Raw genomic sequence first — 19,061 nt, forward strand, 5'->3', positions numbered from 1 at the left:
GCGCAGGGATGTAAGAAACAAGACCAAAGAAGACTCCGCGGCAGACGGCACACTAGGCCTTCATAGGGGCGTGCGCTGGACAGGACCTCGCCAGTTACCGAAAGAATTGTCTGAGAAAGGCTCTGATCTGACCCGAAAGGCCCTTGGTTCCCACGGCAACGCCTCAGCGTCTGGCAGTAACAGGCTCTGTGCCCGGGCTCTCTGGATCTGCAGGTCCCGCCTCCGCCAGCCTCTCACAGCCCGGAGGCACCTCCCATTGGCGCCTGACGGGTTGGTTAGGGCGGCTTTTCTTCCGGCTGTGACAAATCCAGCCTGAGGAGCGCTCCTGTGTCTTTCTTAGTTGTTTCTTCCCGCCCACCTGCCCCTCAAAGCCACAACCCACTTGCACACCACCGTGTGGACACCTAAAAGCGACCGTCTAGATCTGAACCGCGCTGAGGGAATGGTCAGCTTCTCTCCCATTAGATGGCTTGGCCCAAAGGACCTAGCGACTGCCCAGACAAAAATTTCTTCTGACATGCTGCATGTGTCTGTGGTCTCTAAGAGTCAAAACCAAAGCCAAAAGAAAAAGACAACCCCGCCCCCCGCGAAACAACAACAACAACAACAACAACAACAACAAACACCACCACCAACCCACCTTTCACGAGAGGAGTCCTTGAGAAGAGCCTCTCCAGCCAGAACCAGGTAAAGGAATCTGTGCACTTGGCGGGACCCAGAACACACAGTGGCAGGGACTTGACAGCCACACTCTTACCCCATAGAATCTCCACCACTGACACACAGATCAGGATGTGTCACCCTGAGAGATGACACCACAGTTCTGGGCTTTCACAGATTGATTCCACACTCTCTCACTGATTCCACACACATCCCATTACTCACACCAGATTCCCTCATCACTGACCCTACATACCTACAATCATTGATTCCATGGACCTCATCACTATCCCAAAGACCACCTATCACTAATCTACAGACCCTCCCCTGTCACCCCAGGGACCTCAGATTTCCCATCCCCGATTCCAGGATGTATAGAACCTCATCTCTTACCCCCACAGACCTATTGATAAGAGAATACACTCATGGGAGACTGTGTTGACCATTTTACACATCCATTGTGTGTGTGTGTGTGTGTGTGTGTTGATTAATGGACTTAGGTAAACTTTAGCATTTTGGTAGGCAATGCAGTTTTTCAATGCCTTTTCATTTTCTTTCTTTTTCTTGTACATCTTTAAAGGCCTTACTCCAGGCAGTGTGAATTGCAATTTATTAATGCCTATCCCTTATTGAGTCCTTGTCATACATATTTGTTATTGATCATAATTCACAATTCTTATAACTCAGAGACACCAAAGACTCGCATAAAAAGAATGGATGTGGGTTTTTATTTATTTATTTATTTATTTTGGTTTCTGTAGATTACAAAAGTCATTCATTTATATCAAGTCACGAAGTGTATGCTTTGTTTTCTAAAAAAAATTCTAATTAAAAAAAATTTTTTTTAGACATGGTCTCCCTCTTTCACCCACGATGGAGTGCCGTGGTATAATCATGGCCACCACAGCCTCGACCTCTTGGGCTCAAGAGATCCTCCCACGTTAACCTACCTAGTAGCTGAGACCACAGGCATGCACCAATACGCCCACCTAATTATTATTATTTTTTTTATAGATATGTGGGTCTCACTATGTTGCAGAGACAGGTCTCAAACTCCTGGGCTCAAATGATACTCCCACCTTGGCCTCCCAAAGTGTTGAGATTACAGGTGTGAGCCACTGCACCCAGCTGATAAAATCTTAAAAAGAGTAAAATACTTTGGCATCTAATGGAAAATTTCCACTGAGATGATGCATCAGAAATTAAGGTAGAATAAGATGGTCCTAGGGCATCTGAAACAACGGAAACTCAATCTTGGACTGGGTATGGTGGCTCATGCCTGCAATCTCAGAACTTTGGGAGGAAAAGGTGGGGGACTCACTTGAGGTCAGAAGTTCGAGAGCATTCTAGCCAACATGGTGAAACACTGTCTCTACTAAAAATATAAAAATTAGCCTGGAGGTTGCAGCGAGCTGAGATCGTGCCACTGCACTCCAGTCTGGGCAACAGAGGGAGACTCTGTCTCAAAAAAAAAAAAAAAAAAGAAGAAGAAGTAGAATAAACAAAATCTTAATTTATTCATCAAGTATAAAAATGTGGACTAGACTCTGGAGGAATAATACATAAAAAGACATAGGCACTATTTTTTTTTGAAGTTTTATTGAGAAATATTAATAACATATCACAGAAGCCACCCATTGAAAGTGTAAAATTCAACGGTTTTCAGTATATTTGCACAGTTGTGCAAACAGCACCACAGTAAGTTTTAGATCATTTTCATTACCTTGAAGTAAACCCCATATCCCTCCAGTTCCCCCCAACTCCCCTAACCCCGGGCCACCACTAATCTACTTTCTGTTTCTATGTATTGGTCTATTTTGGATATTTTATTTAAATGGAATTACACAACATGTGGTCTTTTGTGACTGGCTTCTTTCACTTAGCATCATATTTTCAAGGTTTATTAAATGTTGCATGTGCAGAGGGGGCACTTTACATAAGGATAAACCTGGGAGTGGGTGCGTACTGATTTTGAAACTTCACTCCAAAATTGTAAAAGGGAAATGATTGATTTCAAATAGAGGAAAAACCTGTTCAAGCTAAAATCCTCCGTTTTCACCAGTTTGTAATGTGGGGTTTTATTGCGAAGAATGGCAAGGTTTTTATACATATTTTCTGCAAATTCTCCCTGTGTTTGGGAACAGTCACAGAATGTGGAGGTATGGGCTTCTGGACTCTGTGGCTGGAGATTCGAGTCCAGGAGAACTCAAGTCTCAGGGTAGGCAGAGAATAACAGTGCAAGAGTGCCAATGGAACCCTTTGAAATGGAAAATTTAAAATGTTCCCTCCCAAAGGAGTCCCAGATAACCACACAAAAGAGGAGTTTGCTGAGTCAGTCCGTCGCGATTCTCCAATAGGATGCAGACAGACTGGGAAAGAAGAAAGTTTATTTCTGCAACCGATTACATGGAGAAGGGCCAAGTAACTCACCAGACCAACTCAAAGTTACAAGTTTTTTTCTAGTGTTTATAGACATCTTAAGGTCCACGGTATGTGTGGGACTGCACCTACAAGCAGAAGTGTTGCATTCAATCAACATCTAATCTTTAACTAGGGCCTAGGGTCTGGAAAGATTTCTCTAGAGTCTTGGAAAGTTTCTGAATCTTAAGACAGGCTGAGGTGAATGTGTAAGAATGCTATTATTATTCGATCAGACTTTAGGATCTGAGAAGACCAAGGCAGGGTCTTAATGGGTTCGTTTTCGCATTCCATCCCTGATACTCAGGCACCAGTTTCTCCATTTCTTCAACGTTTAACTTATGCATTCATCAAAATTATAGTAAAGGGTTAGTGGAAACTGTTCTGGTTGCTAATGGAAACCTGGCCTGCCACACTGTGATCGGAACTAAAGCCCACTACAGAACACTGAAAATGCCTGCAAAACACTGACTTTACTGACAAGTCAATTAAATTACAGAAAAGCAAGTTCACCTCCCTGCCCGCTCTGTCCTCCGGAATTGCTAGGTAGAAACGTGCACATTGTCCTAGGTTCAGTTTTGCAAAGACGGAGTCCGTCAGAGAAAGCATTTGTTTGATTTCATGCATTTGTGTTTCCTTTGTCCATTTCCTTTATATTTATTTATTTGTTTATTTATTTTTTTGAGACGGAGTTTCGATCCTCTCGCCCAGGCTGGAGTGCAATATCGCGATCTCGGCTCACTGCAACCTCCCCCTCCCGGGTTCAAACGATTCTCCTGCCTCAGCCTCCCAAGTAGCTACGATTACAGGCATGTGCCACCACGCCCGGCTAATTTTTGTTTTTTTAGTAGAGACGGAGTTTCACCATGTTGCCCAGGATGGTCTCGAACTCCAGAGCTCAGGCAATCCACCCGCCTCGGCCTCCCAAAGTGCTGGGATTACAGGCGTGAGCCACTGCGCCCGGCCTATTTTATTTTAAGACGGAGTCTCACTCGGTCGCCCAGGCTGGAGCGCAGGGGCGCGATCTCGGCTCACTGCAACCTCCGCCTCCCGGGTTCAAGCGATTCTTGTGCCTCTGACTCCTGAGTAGCCGGGATTACAGGCGCCCGCCACCACGCCTGGCTAATTTTTGTATTTTTAGTACAGACGGAGGTTTCGTCATGTTGGCGGCCGGACTGGTCTCGAACTCCTGACCTCAAGTAATCCGCCCGCCTCGGCCTCCCAAAGTGCTGGAACTACAGGCGTGAGCCACCGCGCCCGGCCCCATTTCCTTTTATTTTATTCTTTTCAGACGGAGTTTCGGTCTTGCCGCCCAGGCTGGAGGGGAGTGGCGCGATCTCGGCTCACTGCAATCTCCACCTCCCGGGTTCAAACGATTCTCCTGCATCAGCCTCCGGAGTAGATGGGATTACAGGCGCACGCCACCACGCCCGGCTACATTTCCTTTATTTTATTTTTTATAATTTACTAACCTGGTTTTTTTTTTTTTTTTTTTTTTTTGAGACGGAGTCTCGCTCTGTCGCTCAGGCTGGAGTGCATTGGCGCGATCTCTGCTCACTGCAAGCTCCTCCTCCCGGGTTCACGCCATTCTCCTGCCTCAGCCTCTCCGAGTAGCTGGGACTACAGGCGCCCGCCACCACGCCCGGCTAATTTTTTGTATTTTCAGTAGAGACGGGGTTTCACCGTGGTCTCGATCTCCTGACCTCGTGATCCGCCCGCATCCGCCTCCCAAAGTGTTGGGATTACAAGCTTGAGCCACCGCGCCTGGCACTAGCCTGTTTTTTGATAACAAGACTGGCGGTGCACAAAGTTGGGTCTCTGTGTTCACCGGGAGGTGGGCATTGGCCAGGTGGGACGGTCTCCAGCGCCTGGTGCAAATCTCCACCAAAGTGCAGGAAACAGCATCAACTATTACTGCAAAGTTTTGGTTTGGCGCAGCGGGTAGACGTTCCAGCGCTGAAATGCGCAAGAAAGTTTTTGCTGCGCATGTAGGCGGGTCAGGCCCAAGCGCTTCTTATTGGCTAATGTGGAGCGAACCTGCACATCCATTGACTGAAAGCTCCGTCTATTTGAGGCTAACCGAGAGCGTCCCTTCCTTTTGTGTTGCCTGGAAACAGACTGTCCGCCTACTAACATCTGATCGCGTTTCCCATTGGTCGCCGTTTCCGGAAGCCCGCCCTCCCGTTTCCGGAAGCCCGGCACAGGCTGGGTCTGCAGATGGCGTCCGAGTGCACAGTGGCCAGTGTGATTCCGCAGTCTTGGGCTGTTCGGCCAAGCGCCCACCGGACGTGGGACGCTGGAGGGTCAGCAGCGTGGAGTCCTGGCCTTCAGCGTCCGCGGCTGGGAAATCGGCCATCGCCACGGCGGGAACTAGGACTGGCTGCGTCCCGGCCCTTCCCCATCCGTCCACCGGACTCGTGGGCGCCCGCACTGACTGTGATGTAGTTTCCTGACCTCTGACACGTATTGTCTCAAGATTAAAGGTAAAAACGGGACTTTTTCAGCCCACTCGGGTAAAATGCCCTTTTATTTCTAGGCAGGTGTTTTGTTGCAGAACGCCTCGAAGGGAGGGAGTGATCAGTAGGTTGAAGTTTATTAAATAAAATACATTACTAGTTTATATTATGTTTATAATAAAGCACCCCAACCTTTAAAAAAAATCTCACTTTTTGCCAGTTGTATTATTTAGTGGACTGTCTCTGATAAGGACAGCCAGTTAAAATGGCATTTTGTTGTTGTTGCTAATCAAACCAATTTTTAGTTTTGGTGGTTGTCCTAACAGCAGCAACTTCTCAGGCTTTATGAAATCATATTTGTTTTCTTTTTTTTTTTTTTTGAGACAGAGTCTCGCTCTGTCGCCCAGGCTGGAGTGCAGTGGCGTGATCTCGAGTCACTGCAAGCTCTGTCTCCTGGGTTCACGCCATTCTCCTGCCTCAGCCTCCCGAGTAGCTGGGACTACAGGCGCCCGCCACCACGTCCCGCTAATTTTTTGTATTTGTAGTAGAGACGGGGTTTCACTGTGTTAGTCAGGATGGTCTCTATCTCCTGACCTCGTGATCCTCCCGCCTCTGCCTCCCAAAGTGCAGGGATTACAGGTGTGAGCCACCGCGCCCAGCTTATAAAATCATATTTCTTGTGGAAAATTTCTGTGAAAGGCACAGCGAGTTAGTTTGGAATTGTTTTAAAGGAAGTAAGTTCCTGGTTTTGATATCTTAGTAGTAGTATTTTCCCCAATGTCTTTGAAATCTAATTTTTGGGGCACGTATGTAGAGTAACTTTTGTGAAAGAAACAACCAGTTAAGGAGGTTTTGGGATTTCCTTTATGAACTATAATGCTGGTTTAGATTTTTTTTTTTTTTTGAGACGGAGTTTCGCTCTTGTTGCCCAGGCTGGAGTGCAATGGTGTGATCTTGGCTCACTGCAACCTCCGCCTCACGGGTTCAAGCTATTCTCCTGCCTCAGCCTCATGAGTAGCTGGGATTATAGGCATGCACCATCATGCCTGGCTAATTTTGTATTTTTAGTAGAGATTGGGTTTCTTCATGTTGGTCAAGCTGGTTTCGAACTCCCGAGCTTGGGTGATCCGCCCGCCTGGGCCTCCCAAAGTGCTGGGATTACAGGTGTGCTCCACTGCAGCCGGCATATATATATATATATATATATATAATAAAAATGGTAATGACACTATCTCCTAAATCCTTTAAAATGTTAATTGGTGGATCTCTGACTTTTGTAGTATTTATTTCATAGTGTGAATGAGACACCTATAGGCGGCAGGTCTCTATCTTCATGAAGTGTGAAGATTTGGTGCTTTATAAAATAGCCCCCACATTGTTCATAGGCCTTATTCTTGATTCTCAGCTCCCCTCTGCTTCTGACATTGTTACTAAAATTAAGCTATGTTTTTGTGGTTATGTGAGAGCTGTGGAAATGTCCAGCATTAGCCACTAATGTTTCTCCTTGATATTTCTCCATATCTTAATACTGACCCTCAATCCGTTACTCAGATGGGTGTCCTTTTCCTGGATGTCTGGAAACTAAGACCGGCTATCCCTCTGACCTCCCTGCTGAACAACCATTTTTTTCCTCTCTCTCTTCTCTTGTCTACACTTGAGTTGGTAACCTCAGCTCTTTCATGAGCAGCCTTGATTCCTTTGACTCCCTCTAACTCAGAGTTTATTTTATTTATTTATGTTTTTTTGAGACGGAGTCTCGCTCTGTCACCCAGGCTGGAGTGTAGTGGTGTGATCTCAGCTCACTGCAAGCTCCGCCTCCTGGGGTCACGCCATTCTCCTGCCTCAGCCTCTCCCAGTAGCTGGGACTACAGGCACCCGCCACCACGCCCAGCTAATTTTTTGTATTTTCAGTAGAGATGGGGTTTCACCGTGGTCTCGATCTCCTGACTTCGTAATCCACCCGCCTCGGCCTCCCAAAGTGCTGGGATTACAAGTGTAAACCACCGCACCCGGCCATAACTCTGAGTTTATTACCTGCAGTTCCATCAGCCAAGTTTAGGGCCCATGAGAAGGGCCCATGAATGAAATTTTCACATACCTCTAGCCAAAATATAGTGTTTCCTTCCATCTTGAATACAGGCTGTAGAGCCCTTGGGTATGGGGCATTATTAGCAGTCAGACCACAGCAGTTTTTATGTCATCTGACAGCATCTCCAAATAGCCTTCATGGTTGTCACTGCTTCCCAATGACAATTCCAAATAACAGTTCCCAGTGATGATGTGCTACTTGCTATTGTTACTTAATGTGTTAAAGTGGCTGTTACAGACACTATTACTATGTCAGGAATTACACCAAAATTTAGTAGCTCAAACCATCATTTTATTATGTTTGTGGATTCTCATGCTTATAGTCAGGATTTCAGACATGGCACAAGGGTAGCCCACTTGTCTCTGTTCCGTGATGTCTGGCCTCAGCACAGAAGACTCAACAGCTGGGGTCTGGAACCATCTGGAGGCTTGTTCCTTCACATCTGATACCTGGCTTGGGATGTTGGAAGAGGGGGCTCAGCTGGGACTGAGTCCCTACATGTAGTGTTTCCATATGGCCTTGACTTCCTTACAGCCTGGTGTGGGGAAAAGAAAGAGGGATCAGACTGTTACTGTGTTTGTGTAGAAAGAAGTAGACATAAGAGACTCCATTTTGTTCTGTACTAAGAAAAATTATTCTGCCTTGAGATGCTGTTAATCTGTAACCCTACCCCCAACCCTGTGCTCACAGAAACGTACTCTGTTGGCTCAAGGTTTAATGGATTTAGGGCTATGCAGGATGTGCTTTGTTAAACAAATGCTTGAAGGCAGCATGCTTGTTAAAAGTCATCACCACTCCCTAATCTCAAGTACCCAGAGACACAAAACACTGTGTAAGGCCGCAGGGATCTCTGCCTAGGAAAGCCAGGTATTGTCCAAGGTTTCTCCCCTTGTGATGGTCTGGAATATGGCCCCGTGGGAAGGAAAAGACCTGACGTTCCCCCAGCCCGACACCTGTAAAGGGTCCGTGGTGAGGAGGATTAGTAAAAGAGGAGGGCCTCTGCACTTCAGATAAGAGGAAGGCATCTGTCTCCTGCTCGTCCCTGGGCAATGGAATGTCTCTGTGTAAAACCCGATTAACTGCTCTTTAATGCACCAAGATTTTTATGTATGTGCACATCAAAGCACAGCACCTTTTTCTTAACCTTGTTTATGACACAGAGATATTCACATGTTTTCCTGCTGACCCTCTCCCCACTATTACCCTATTGTCCTGCCACATCCCCCTCTCTGAGATGGTAGAGATAATGATCAATAAATACTGAGGGAACTCAGAGACCAGTGCCAGCATGGGTCCTCTGTATGCTGAGCGCCAGTCCCCTGGGCCCACTTTTCTTTCTCTATACTTTGTCTCTGTGTCTCTTTCTTTTCTCAGTTTCCCGTCCCACCCGACAAGAAACACCCTCAGGTGTGGAGGGGCAGGCCATCCCTTTCACCTGGCAGCCTCAGGGTAGTCAGAATTCTTAGGAGGCACAGGGCTCCAGGTCAGATGCTGAGTGATCTTTTATGAGGTAGCACAGCAAATCCACCCAGGATCGGGGAGAGAGGACATCGATTCTGCCTCTCAAAGGGAGGAGTGGCAAGAAATGTTGAGCCATTTTTTAAAACTACCACAGCAACATGCCTATTAATATGTCAGAAAAAATTAAAGCATCCTGATAGCTGCATTTCTAAGTAATTGGTCTCCTTTGAAATTCTGTGAATTGTGTTTTTGGTAGTATATGGCATTATTCTGAGGAGGGGTCAAAGACTCTCCCGTATGTTAGAACGGTCCTGCACAGAACAGGCTAACCCCCACCCACGTCCCCCAGTGTTTGAAATGCATAGTGTTTGCTGTGGTTTATTGGTCAGGGCAGGAGTTTCTCATTTAAATTGGCCTGTAACTTTTTTTTTGGTCTGATTTCCTTCTGTTTGTGCTGATATTCTCACCTCAATAGGAATCAGGAGCTTCTTTTGCTGTTCTTCTGTTTTGGATGCATTGGAAGGTAAGTTTCCTTGTGAACCATATTTTGGACTCATTTTGTAGGCTTTGCCAAATGGCCTTTTTACGCTCCCATTTTGCATTTTCTTTGGATATTCTCATAGATTCTCAGGGATATTTTCATATTTTACTATTCATGAATTTAGAAGTGTGTTTACTTTCCTGAGTTTTCATTTTCTTCTTTTTCTTCCGTTGTATGTAATTTACAGAGCAAATACCCACCAGAGAGAATACCGTAAGGGATGTGGAAAGTGAGTTTCTTTGCGCTTATCCAGTGATTGATTTTCAGTCAATGAGCATTCAGTATATGCCTGGGACTCTGGCTTTATTTATTAGCTTTCTGATGCTGAACCCATCAGTGAACTACTCTGTATATTTGATTCATCATGAAATGGTGACACCCAGGGTGGCTGATTTCCAGGTTTACATCAGTTGCCCCAGGGGAAGTGCCTGGCCCTTGTCTGGTTGTTGCTGCTCTAACTTTGCCCTGTTAATTGAAGAAATGCAGCTGTAAACACTTCCTGGGGTGTTGCTGGCATTTACTGTCCTCACAGTTTACAGGGAAGCCCATATTTTCAGCCTCTTCCTCTGCTTTCTGCCATTTCTAAACCATCTCACCCGATCTGGTGTAATCTTCATTGTGTGTGAGTTTGCACAGATGTAATTTGGGCCTACATGTGTCCAAAGCCTAATGCCCACCTCCCACCTCCACGAAAATCTGGAGCTCAGGACCCACTACCCTCCCCCACCCACTGCAAGCTTGAACATTTGATGGTGGAAACCCCGCCCTGAGTTTGTATTATGGTGGGTTCTCTTGGGTCTTGTTCTCTGTGGGTCTGTCCTGCGTTATAGTGTGTGGAGCCGGGGGGATTTTCACTGTGTTCCTAAAGGAGGGTCACAAGGAGTTGTTGGGCAAACGGTCTGATATTTCCTTTTTTTTTTTGAAACAGAGTCTCACTCTGTTTCCCAGGCTGGAGTTCTGTGGCACCGTGTTGGCTCACTGCAACCTCCGTCTCCTGGGTTCAAGCAATTCTCTTGCCTCAGCCTCCAGAGTAGCTGGGATTACAGGTGCCCACCACCACGCCTGGCTAATTTTTTAATATTTTTAGTGGAGACGGGGTTTCATCGTGTTGGCCAGGCTGGTCTCGAACTCCTGACCTCAGGTGATCCGCCCGCCTAGGCCTCCCAGAGTGCTGGGATTACAGGTGGGCACCTGGCCAAGGGGCTGATATTTCTTAAGGGCTTTCCCCAAGAAGGAAGAAGCCAAACCTACTCAGGCAAATCTTGTTTATTTATTCTTCTAGGTCCAGATTTGGAACAAGTCTCTCTAGAGATTGAACAGGTAAGGCTCACCTTTCAATAGTTACACCAAGAAAGGCCTAGCTGATGACTTAAGCTATGGTTTTGGGCTGCACGAGAGTGGTCAGGTGGACAGTAGGGAAGTCTACATGTAACCCAAACGGAAAAGAGAAAAGGCCCCTGAGAAATCAGGGGAAAGTGCCACAGTGTCTCTTTCTTGATGATGTCACTGGCATGTGGGTTACCTTCCCACTGTGTCCCCCAAAGGACATGAGGCCACAAACTGAAGTGCCCATGAACAGAGGAGCTGTGGGGACGGTGGTTTGATCGCTCCGTTCAAATGCACACCCCGGTGCATGTGCATCTCTTCTGATGCAGGGCCCCAGTGGGTAAGCTCTGTGCTTCTCCACACAGTGGATCAGGAGTGGAAACATTCTGTCTGTTTAGCGCTTGATGGTTTGGTGGTGACCTCATGTCATGGTGATTAGAGCCAATGATCCTAACAGTTTAAAATTGTTGAGCTTGTGGGTAGGTATTTGGGAGATAGTATGTGTGTTACCTAGTGTTTGTCATCTGCAGTGGTTTTGTTACTTTTTGCATAAACTGCGGAGAACGTTTACTAACTGCAGATGATAGAGAAATCACCAGTCACTCTAAAATCCTCCCATTTCTTGGTCTAGAGCTGCGCCTGGAACCCGCCGCAGGGAGGAGACCTGAAGACCAGAGGAAACACAGCAAGTAGGCCCTTTAAACCACTCACCTGTGTTGTCTTCTAATTTATTCTGTTTTATTTTGTTTCCATCATTTTAAGGGGTTAAAATCATCTTGTTCAGACCTCAGCATATAAAATGACCCATCTGTAGACCTCAGGCTCCAACCATACCCCAAGAGTTGTCTGGTTTTTTTAAAATTACTGCCAGGTTTCAACTGCAGATATCCCTGGAAGGAATATTCCAGATTCCCTGAGTAGTTTCCAGGTTAAAGTCTTATAGGCTTCTTCTGTTTTGAGGAGGAGTTCCTGTCAGAGAAAAACCTGATTTTGGATTTTTAGCTTTAATGCTTGTGAAACGCTATAAAAAATAATATTCTACCCCTAACATTAAAGTACTGTTAGTGAGAAATTAAAATTCCTTCAGGAGGATTAAACTGCCATTTCAGTTACCCTAATTCCAAACGTTTTGGTTGTTAGAATTTTCTTTAATGTTCATGAAGAAGTGTTTTATATTTTCCATCAAGATTGAACCTCTCTCTCTTTTTTTTTTTTTTAGACAGAGTCTCGCTCTGTTGCCCAGGCTGGAGTGTAGTATGGCGATCTCTGCTCACTGCAAGCTCTGCCTTCCGGGTTCACACCATTCTCCCACCTCAGCCCCTGGAGTAGTTGGGACTACAGGCTCATGCTACCACACCTGGTTAATTTTGTTTTTGTGTTTTTAGTAGAAACGGGGTTTCACCGTGTTGGCCAGGATGGTCTGGATCTCCTGACCTCGTGATCTGCCCACCTCAGCCTCTCAAAGTGCTGGGATTACAGGCCTGAGCCACTGTGCCCGGCTGTTTTTTCATTTCTATTATGATTTGTTCTGTGGAATGTCAGTGACTTAGCGGTATGTTTTTCACATTTTTATAAAGCTGAATAGTTCTGTATGTCAGCTCAGCACCCCTAGTGTCAGCCATGCTACTCTCCTGCTGTGCATAGATGGGGGCCCGTCCACACCCGAATCTCCTGGGTTCCCGCTGTCAGCACCCGAAGGTACCCACCAGATGTGTCTGTCGCTTCCCTCCATCCACCTCTATTGTGGTTCTCATGTTTCTGCCTCCCTAGAGACCATTTCTCTCCAGAGCAGTGCTTTCCAATAGAAATACAATGCCAGACACATACGTCATTTTAGATTTTCTAGTAGTCACTTTAGAAAAGTTAAAAAGAAACAGGTGAAATTAATGTTTTATTTCACCTAAAATGTTAGCATTATCCAAAATATCACTTCAACATCTTATCAAAATAAAAATTATTAATGAAATCATTTACTTTTTTTTTTTTTGAGACAGGGTCTTGCTTTGTTGCCCAGGCTGGAATGCAGTGGCACCAGCATAGCTCACTGCAGTCTCAAACTCCTGGGCTCAAGAGATCCTCCTACCTCAGCCTTCCAGGTAGTTTGGACTACAGGCACACACCACCATGCCATGCTAATTTTTTTTTTTTAAAGGCTGGGTCTCACTCTGTCAGCCGGGCTGGAGTGCAGTAGCACAATCTTGACTCACTGCAGCCTCGATATCTGGGGCCGAAATGATCCTCCCACCTCAGCCTCCCAAGTAGCTGGGACCACAAACATGTGCCACCACGCCTGAATAATTTTTGTATTTTTTTGTTAAGACAGGGTTTCAGCATGTTGTCCAGGCTGGTCTTGAACTCCAGAGCTCAAGTGATCCACCCACCTTGGCCTCCCAAAGTGCTGGGATTACACGCGTGAGCCACTGCACTTGGCCTGATTTTTTTTTTCTGAAGAGATGAGGTCTTGCTATGTTGCCCAGACCGGTCTCAAATTCCTGGCTCAAGCAGTCCTCCTGTCTTGGCCTTCCAAAGTGCTGGGATTACAGATGTGAGCCACCACACTGGCCCATTCTTTCTTTTATACTGAGTATTCAGAATTTTTTTAAAATGTGTTTTCCACTTACAGCATTTCTCAGGTTGGACTAGCCATCTTTCAAGTGCTCAGCAGCCACATGTGGCAAGTGCCTGCCTTATTGGACAGCACAGCTCTGGAGGGTGATTTTATGTACATCCCCACTGCTCTCTCTGCCTCCTTTATTCCCATCTACCCCACACCCCTGCAGTCTGTGACTATCGTGTCCCTCCTCTCTTCCTGTCTCTTGTAATCCTTTAATATGGAGAATTATTTCCAATTCCTTAACATCCTGCCTGATTTTTTTCTGTCTTACATTCAAGGGTCACAGTTTTCCTCTCACCCTCATTTCAGTCTTTTCCCATAACATGTGACGTGCCTTTTTGTCTTGGTTGGGTATTTATTTGCAATACAAGAATGATTGTTTTCTTTGATACATTAGTGACTCACATACTTTTCATGTTTTTTGAGTACCTCTTTCTTGAAAGAATTTCAAATTCTAAAGTTAAATTAGAAAGCTTTTTTTTTTTTTTTTTTTTTGAGTTGTAGTCTCGCTCTGTCGCCCAGACTGGAGTGCAGTGGCGTGATCTCATCTCACTACAAACTCTGCCTTCCAGATTCAAGTGATTCTCCTGCCTCAGCCTCCCGAGTACCCGGGATTACAGATGTGCACCACCATGCCTGGCTAATTTTTGTCTTTTTAGTAGAGCCAGAGTTTTGCCATTTTGGCTAGCCTGGTCTTGAACTCTTGACCTCAAGTGATCTGCCCGCCTCAGCCTCCCAAAGTGCTGGGATTACAAGGGTGGGCCACCATGCACAACCTAGACAGCTTATTTTATTTTATTATTATAATTTTTTTTTTTTCGAGATGAAGTCTTGCTCTGTCTCCCAGGCTGGAGTACAATGGCAGGTCTCGGATCCCTGCAACCTCTGCCTCCTGGGTCCAAGCAGTTCTCCCTGCCTCAGCCTCTCGAGTAGCTGGGATTACAGGTGCCCACCACCATGCCCAGCTAATTTTTGTATTTTTAGTAGAGACAGAGTTTCACCATGTTGGCCAGGCTGGTTTTGAACTCCTGACCTCAGGTGATCCGCCCACCTCGGCCTCCCAAAATGCTGGTATTACAGGCATGAGCCATTTTCCCTGGCCAGGAAACTTATTTCAAAAGGTGTGTATAGAGCCCCTTATGTTTCTACTTGATTTTTAAATGACAGGTCTATATGTTTTAGGATGTAATATCTCACTGTGTGTTGCTTTGCATCATTGAACATTTTTGGTAATTATTTTTATTTTCTATATATTTTAGAGATTTCATTAAACTAATACGGAATTTCATATTCAGGGGCAGGCATAGTGGCTCATACCTGTTTTCCCAGCACTTTGGGAGGCCGAGGCGGGCAGATCACCTGAGGTCAGGGGTTTGAGACCATCCTGGCCAACATGGCAAAACCCCGTCTCTACTAAAAATACAAAATTATTCGTGTAGTGGTGCAGGCCTGTAATCCCAGCTACTTGGGAGGCTGAGGCAGGAGAATCGCTTGAACCCGGAGGCAGAGGTTGCAGTGAGCCGTGATCTTGCCACTTCACTCCAGCCTGGCCCACAGAGCAAAACTCCTCAAAAAAAAAAAAAAAAAATCATACTCGCTCGTATCAAAAATGAAAATTTATTTTTACAAATTTCTATGTGAGTGATAGAATTATTTTAATGTCAGAAAGGTTCATAAGAAATGGGTGTAGTGATTGTGTTCTTTCCTGTGCTCGAATGGAAAATGATGAGGGAACACAATGTTAGAGTTGCAGTGAGAAGGGGCGGAAAGACCAGGTGCGGTGGCTCATGCCTGTAATCTCAGCACTTTGGGAGGCCAAGGCGGGCGGATCACCTGAGGTCAGGAGTTCAAGACCAGCCTGACCAACACGGAGAAACCCCATCTTTACTAAAAATACAAATTAGCTGGGTGTGGTGGTGCATGCGTGTAACCCCAGCTATTTGGGAGACTGAGACAGGAGAATCACTTGAACTGGGAGGTGGAGCCTGCAGTAAGCCAAGATCGCACCATTGCACTCCAGCCTGGTTAACAAAAGCAAAACTCTGTCTCAAAAAAAGAAAAAAAGAGAAAGGGTGGAAAAGAGGGATTCCAGAGTGCCAGGCACACAGATTTTCTGGAAGGTTTACATGAGGACTGCTGTGGTTTGAATGTGTTCCCCAAAGTTCATGTGTTGGAAACTCAACCCCTAATGCAACAGTGTTGATCAGTGGAACCTTTAAGAGGTGATTAGGTCATGAAGGCTCTGCCCTCATGAATGGATGAAGGTAGGGTGGGTTAGTTATCTTGGGAGGGGGTTCCTGATAAAAGGATGAGGTTGGCTTCCTCCCTTTCTGTCTTTCCCCTTCTCCCTCTCACATGTGGTCACTCTCTTGCCCTTTTACCTTCCAGCATAGGACAACACAGCGAGACCTTCACCAGATGCAGGCCCCTCACTTTCCCAGTGTTCAGAACCATAAACCAAGTGAACCCTTATAAATCACCCAGTCTGTGGTATTCTGTTATAGCAACACAAACAGACTAAGACAGGGACACTCAGTGAGCTCTTCTCTCTACTTGATGGAGCACTCCCTGCGTGGTGCCTTGTATTTGTAGACATGATGCTGTAAATGCTCTTTGAGTGTCTCGAAGGCTTTTATGTTTGAGGAGTTTACAGAGAAGCCCGTACAGGGTTCAGGTCCATTCTGTTGCTTCTTTGCTCCTTAGTTCCTCCCCTAATCTGATGTTAAATTAGATCATAGTGTGGTCCTTGGACCAATAGTATCAGTAGCACCTGAAAATCATGCTGGAAATACAGATTCACAGGCTGCTCCCCAGAATACTGAAGAAGAAACTCTAGGAGTGAGACCCAACAATCTGTGTTTAACAAGTCCCCAGGTGAGTCTGATGCACAAAGAAACGTGAGCTGCTGTATTAGATGGTGTTGAGTTCATGCCACCGAATCACTGACACACACATCTGCTCACTGCTTGCTCTTCGCACAGGCCCCTGGATCCTCCTGGAATCCCTGATCCCTGTTGCTCCCTTGCGGAGTTTTCTAGTCCCTCTTATTTGAAGCATGTCTTTCAGAGCCTCGCACCACCCAGCTTGGGTATCTGGTGAATTCTGTGGTCTGCATGTCCATGTTTTTGACATTCTGGGAAGGGTGGCCCAGGCTGTGATTTGCCATCTACTGCTGCAGGCTATGGATGGTATTCAGAAGGGAGGGGAGATGCTGTGTGCGTGTTCTGAAGGGTTTCCCACTAAATGGAGAGACTGACTCTCTCCATAAGTATTTGATTTTTACTTTATCTCCTCGTTGACTTCACAGTGTAAGTGCAGTTTGTCTCTACTGGGTGATGCATGCAGATAAATGTTTATGTGAACATAAGAAGTCTGCATGTGTGGGTGAACTCTCCACATCATGTCATTTATTGTCCATCATTACGTATCTGTGGTGTCTAGCACATTCCTCTACCTTATTTTCTGTCATTGTACCTACTTCTACCTGAACACGTATTAAATATCTTATTAAAAATACACAAATATTATGTTTCCTCAGTGGTTTTTTCCCCCTCACATTGGGCCCTCCTCTTCAGTGGACTACAGTGTGGTACCTGCAGGTCTCAGGCCTTCTGGGAGGTTCCAGCTTTTCCTGGATGCTCTCTCTCTCTGGCCAGCTCAGGCTGGAGCAGTGGGTGTTGGTGCCATCCTGTGGCTATAGGTGATAAACCAGGTTGTGTTTTGACCCCTAGTCTTGAATCCTGGAGTTCTCACATGCGTGGATTTAAATGCTGTGTCTTTCTAAGGGCAGATTGTGCCCATTTTCCTTCTCTGCCTCTCAAGGGACTGTTTGCTGTGTTTATTGACTTACCATTAAAAAAAATCATATACATTGATGAATTAGATTGTACTCCATAAATTATATATGTTTGAAAAATAAAGAATATTTTTTCAATTTTTTTCTGATTTTTACCTATCTTTTAAATTGTATATATTTATGGGGTACAAAATGATGTTATGATTTTTCCATACAGTGTGGAATGTTTAAGTCAAATTATCCTATCCATTACCTCAAATACTTGACTTTTTTTGGTGATGAGAATGGTGTTTATCACTTTCACTCATCAGCTCCTGATGTCTTCCATGCTAGGGACAGGAAAGGCTCAACACTTGACTTTCCCTCCTGTTTTCTTAGCCACTGTCAACCCTTGAATGTACCCTCCAGGGTTGCCTGTCACCTTTTACACCTAGCCTGATCCTTGTGCACCCACTTTCCTCTCAGGGACTGTCCTTAGGGAGTGACTTTATGCACAGACTTAATGTGCTCTTCCTGCCTCCTTCATCCCCATAAGCCCCCATCTCAGCCCCATCTGATTATTTCCTCCCTCTCTCATTTCCTGTTATTCTGTTGGTTTTCTAACCTGAAGGGTAACTGCTTACTCCTTAGTTTTCTGCCTTAATTTCTAAGTCATAGGCTACTTTCAGGCTAAAAGTTTTCCTCCAGCCATGGTTTTAGTCTCATTCTGTAAGTCTTGGTTTTTAGTTTTATTCATTTAAAATTAATCTTTAATAACTTTTTTGACTCATTGGTGACAGAGTAATTCCCTCTCTTCCCACCACACCACCCTCTGTCCCCAAGATTCTGGAAGTTTGTTCTTCCCCTTTTGTGATCATTGTTACTTAAAACTTTGAGTTTTTCAAATTAGAAGTTTCTTCTATAAATGTATATAGAGCTTGGCTGGGCGTGGTGGCTCACGCCTGTAATCCCAGCGTTTGGGAGGCTGAGGCGGGTGGATCACGAGGTCAGGAGATCGAGACCATCCTGGCTAACATGGTGAAACCCGATCTCTACTAAAAATACAAAAAAATTAGCCAGGCGAGGTGGCAGGCGCCTGTAGTCCCAGCTACTCGGGAGGCTGAGACAGGAGAATGGCGTGAACCTGGGAGGCGGAGCTTGCAGTGAGCCGAGATGGCACCACTGCACTCCAGCCTGGGCGACAGAGTGAGACTCTGTCTCAAAAAAAAAAAAAAAAAAAAGTGTATAGAGCTAATAACTCCTTGCTTTTTTTTTTTTTTTTTTTGAGAGTCTCGCTCTTGTTGCCAAGGCTGGAGTGCAATGGCACAATCTTGGCTCACTGCAACTTCTGCCTCCTGGGTTCAAGTGATTCTCCTGCCTCACCCTCCCAAGTAGCTGGATTACAGGCAGTGGCCACCACGCCCATGTGGGGAAAAGCAAGAGAGATCAGATTGTTACTGTGTCTGTGTAGAAAGAAGTAGACATAGGAGACTCCATTTTGTTATGTACTAAGAAAAATTCTTCTGCCTTGAGATTCTGTTAATCTATAACCTTACCCCCAACCCCGTGCTCTCTGAAACATGTGCTGTGTCAACTCAGAGTTAAATGGATTAAGGGCGGTGCAAGATGTGCTTTGTTAAACAGATGCTTGAAGGCAGCATGCTCCTTAAGAGTCATCACCACTCCCTAATCTCAAGTACCCAGGGACACAAAAACTGCAG

At 45.5% G+C, this 19,061-nt stretch overlaps 1 protein-coding gene across 32 annotated transcripts in view, besides 5 other annotated features; it reads left to right on the top strand.

Moving 5' to 3' along the window:
- Positions 1-211: 211 nt before the first annotated feature.
- ZNF875 (zinc finger protein 875) overlaps positions 212-19,061 on the top strand; it is a 51,619-nt gene continuing 32,769 nt past the window's right edge. For 9 of the 32 annotated variants that reach the window (NR_138112.2, NR_138105.2, NR_138109.2 and 6 more), the window contains exons 1-4: positions 5,270-5,561; positions 9,560-9,607; positions 10,908-10,945; positions 11,583-11,640. Coding sequence is in view for 12 of the 32 variants with exons in the window: in XM_047438683.1 (XP_047294639.1) it covers positions 12,596-12,649 (54 nt within the window). In the remaining 20 variants the exon portion in view is untranslated. Of the gene's footprint in view, positions 688-5,256; positions 5,562-9,559; positions 9,608-9,812; positions 9,855-10,907; positions 10,946-11,582; positions 11,641-12,170; positions 12,650-15,953; positions 16,440-16,546; positions 16,948-19,061 lie in introns of those variants that run through there. The other 23 variants (NR_138110.2, NR_138108.2, NM_001329765.2 and 20 more) reach the window with 14 other exon arrangements.
- Positions 5,019-5,118: a silencer, noted in NCBI's record as "silent region_10554". NCBI's record gives its function as "represses an Ori minimal core promoter by ATAC-STARR-seq in GM12878 lymphoblastoid cells {active_cell/tissue: GM12878}" and the evidence as "EXISTENCE:reporter gene assay evidence [ECO:0000049][PMID:35858748]".
- Positions 5,299-5,508: an enhancer, noted in NCBI's record as "active region_14541". NCBI's record gives its function as "activates an Ori minimal core promoter by ATAC-STARR-seq in GM12878 lymphoblastoid cells {active_cell/tissue: GM12878}" and the evidence as "EXISTENCE:reporter gene assay evidence [ECO:0000049][PMID:35858748]".
- Positions 5,620-6,517: an enhancer, noted in NCBI's record as "H3K27ac hESC enhancer chr19:37809147-37810044 (GRCh37/hg19 assembly coordinates)". NCBI's record gives its function as "activates a minimal SCP1, AML or CMV promoter by ChIP-STARR-seq in naive H9 embryonic stem cells {active_cell/tissue: H9 hESC(naive)}" and the evidence as "EXISTENCE:reporter gene assay evidence [ECO:0000049][PMID:30033119]".
- Positions 7,590-8,238: an enhancer, noted in NCBI's record as "OCT4-NANOG-H3K27ac hESC enhancer chr19:37811117-37811765 (GRCh37/hg19 assembly coordinates)". NCBI's record gives its function as "activates a minimal SCP1, AML or CMV promoter by ChIP-STARR-seq in primed H9 embryonic stem cells {active_cell/tissue: H9 hESC(primed)}" and the evidence as "EXISTENCE:reporter gene assay evidence [ECO:0000049][PMID:30033119]".
- Positions 8,239-8,887: an enhancer, noted in NCBI's record as "OCT4-NANOG-H3K27ac hESC enhancer chr19:37811766-37812414 (GRCh37/hg19 assembly coordinates)". NCBI's record gives its function as "activates a minimal SCP1, AML or CMV promoter by ChIP-STARR-seq in naive and primed H9 embryonic stem cells {active_cell/tissue: H9 hESC(naive and primed)}" and the evidence as "EXISTENCE:reporter gene assay evidence [ECO:0000049][PMID:30033119]".

This window comes from Homo sapiens, chromosome 19 (assembly GCF_000001405.40).
Source record: "Homo sapiens chromosome 19, GRCh38.p14 Primary Assembly".
NCBI classification, from domain to species: domain Eukaryota; kingdom Metazoa; phylum Chordata; class Mammalia; order Primates; family Hominidae; genus Homo; species Homo sapiens.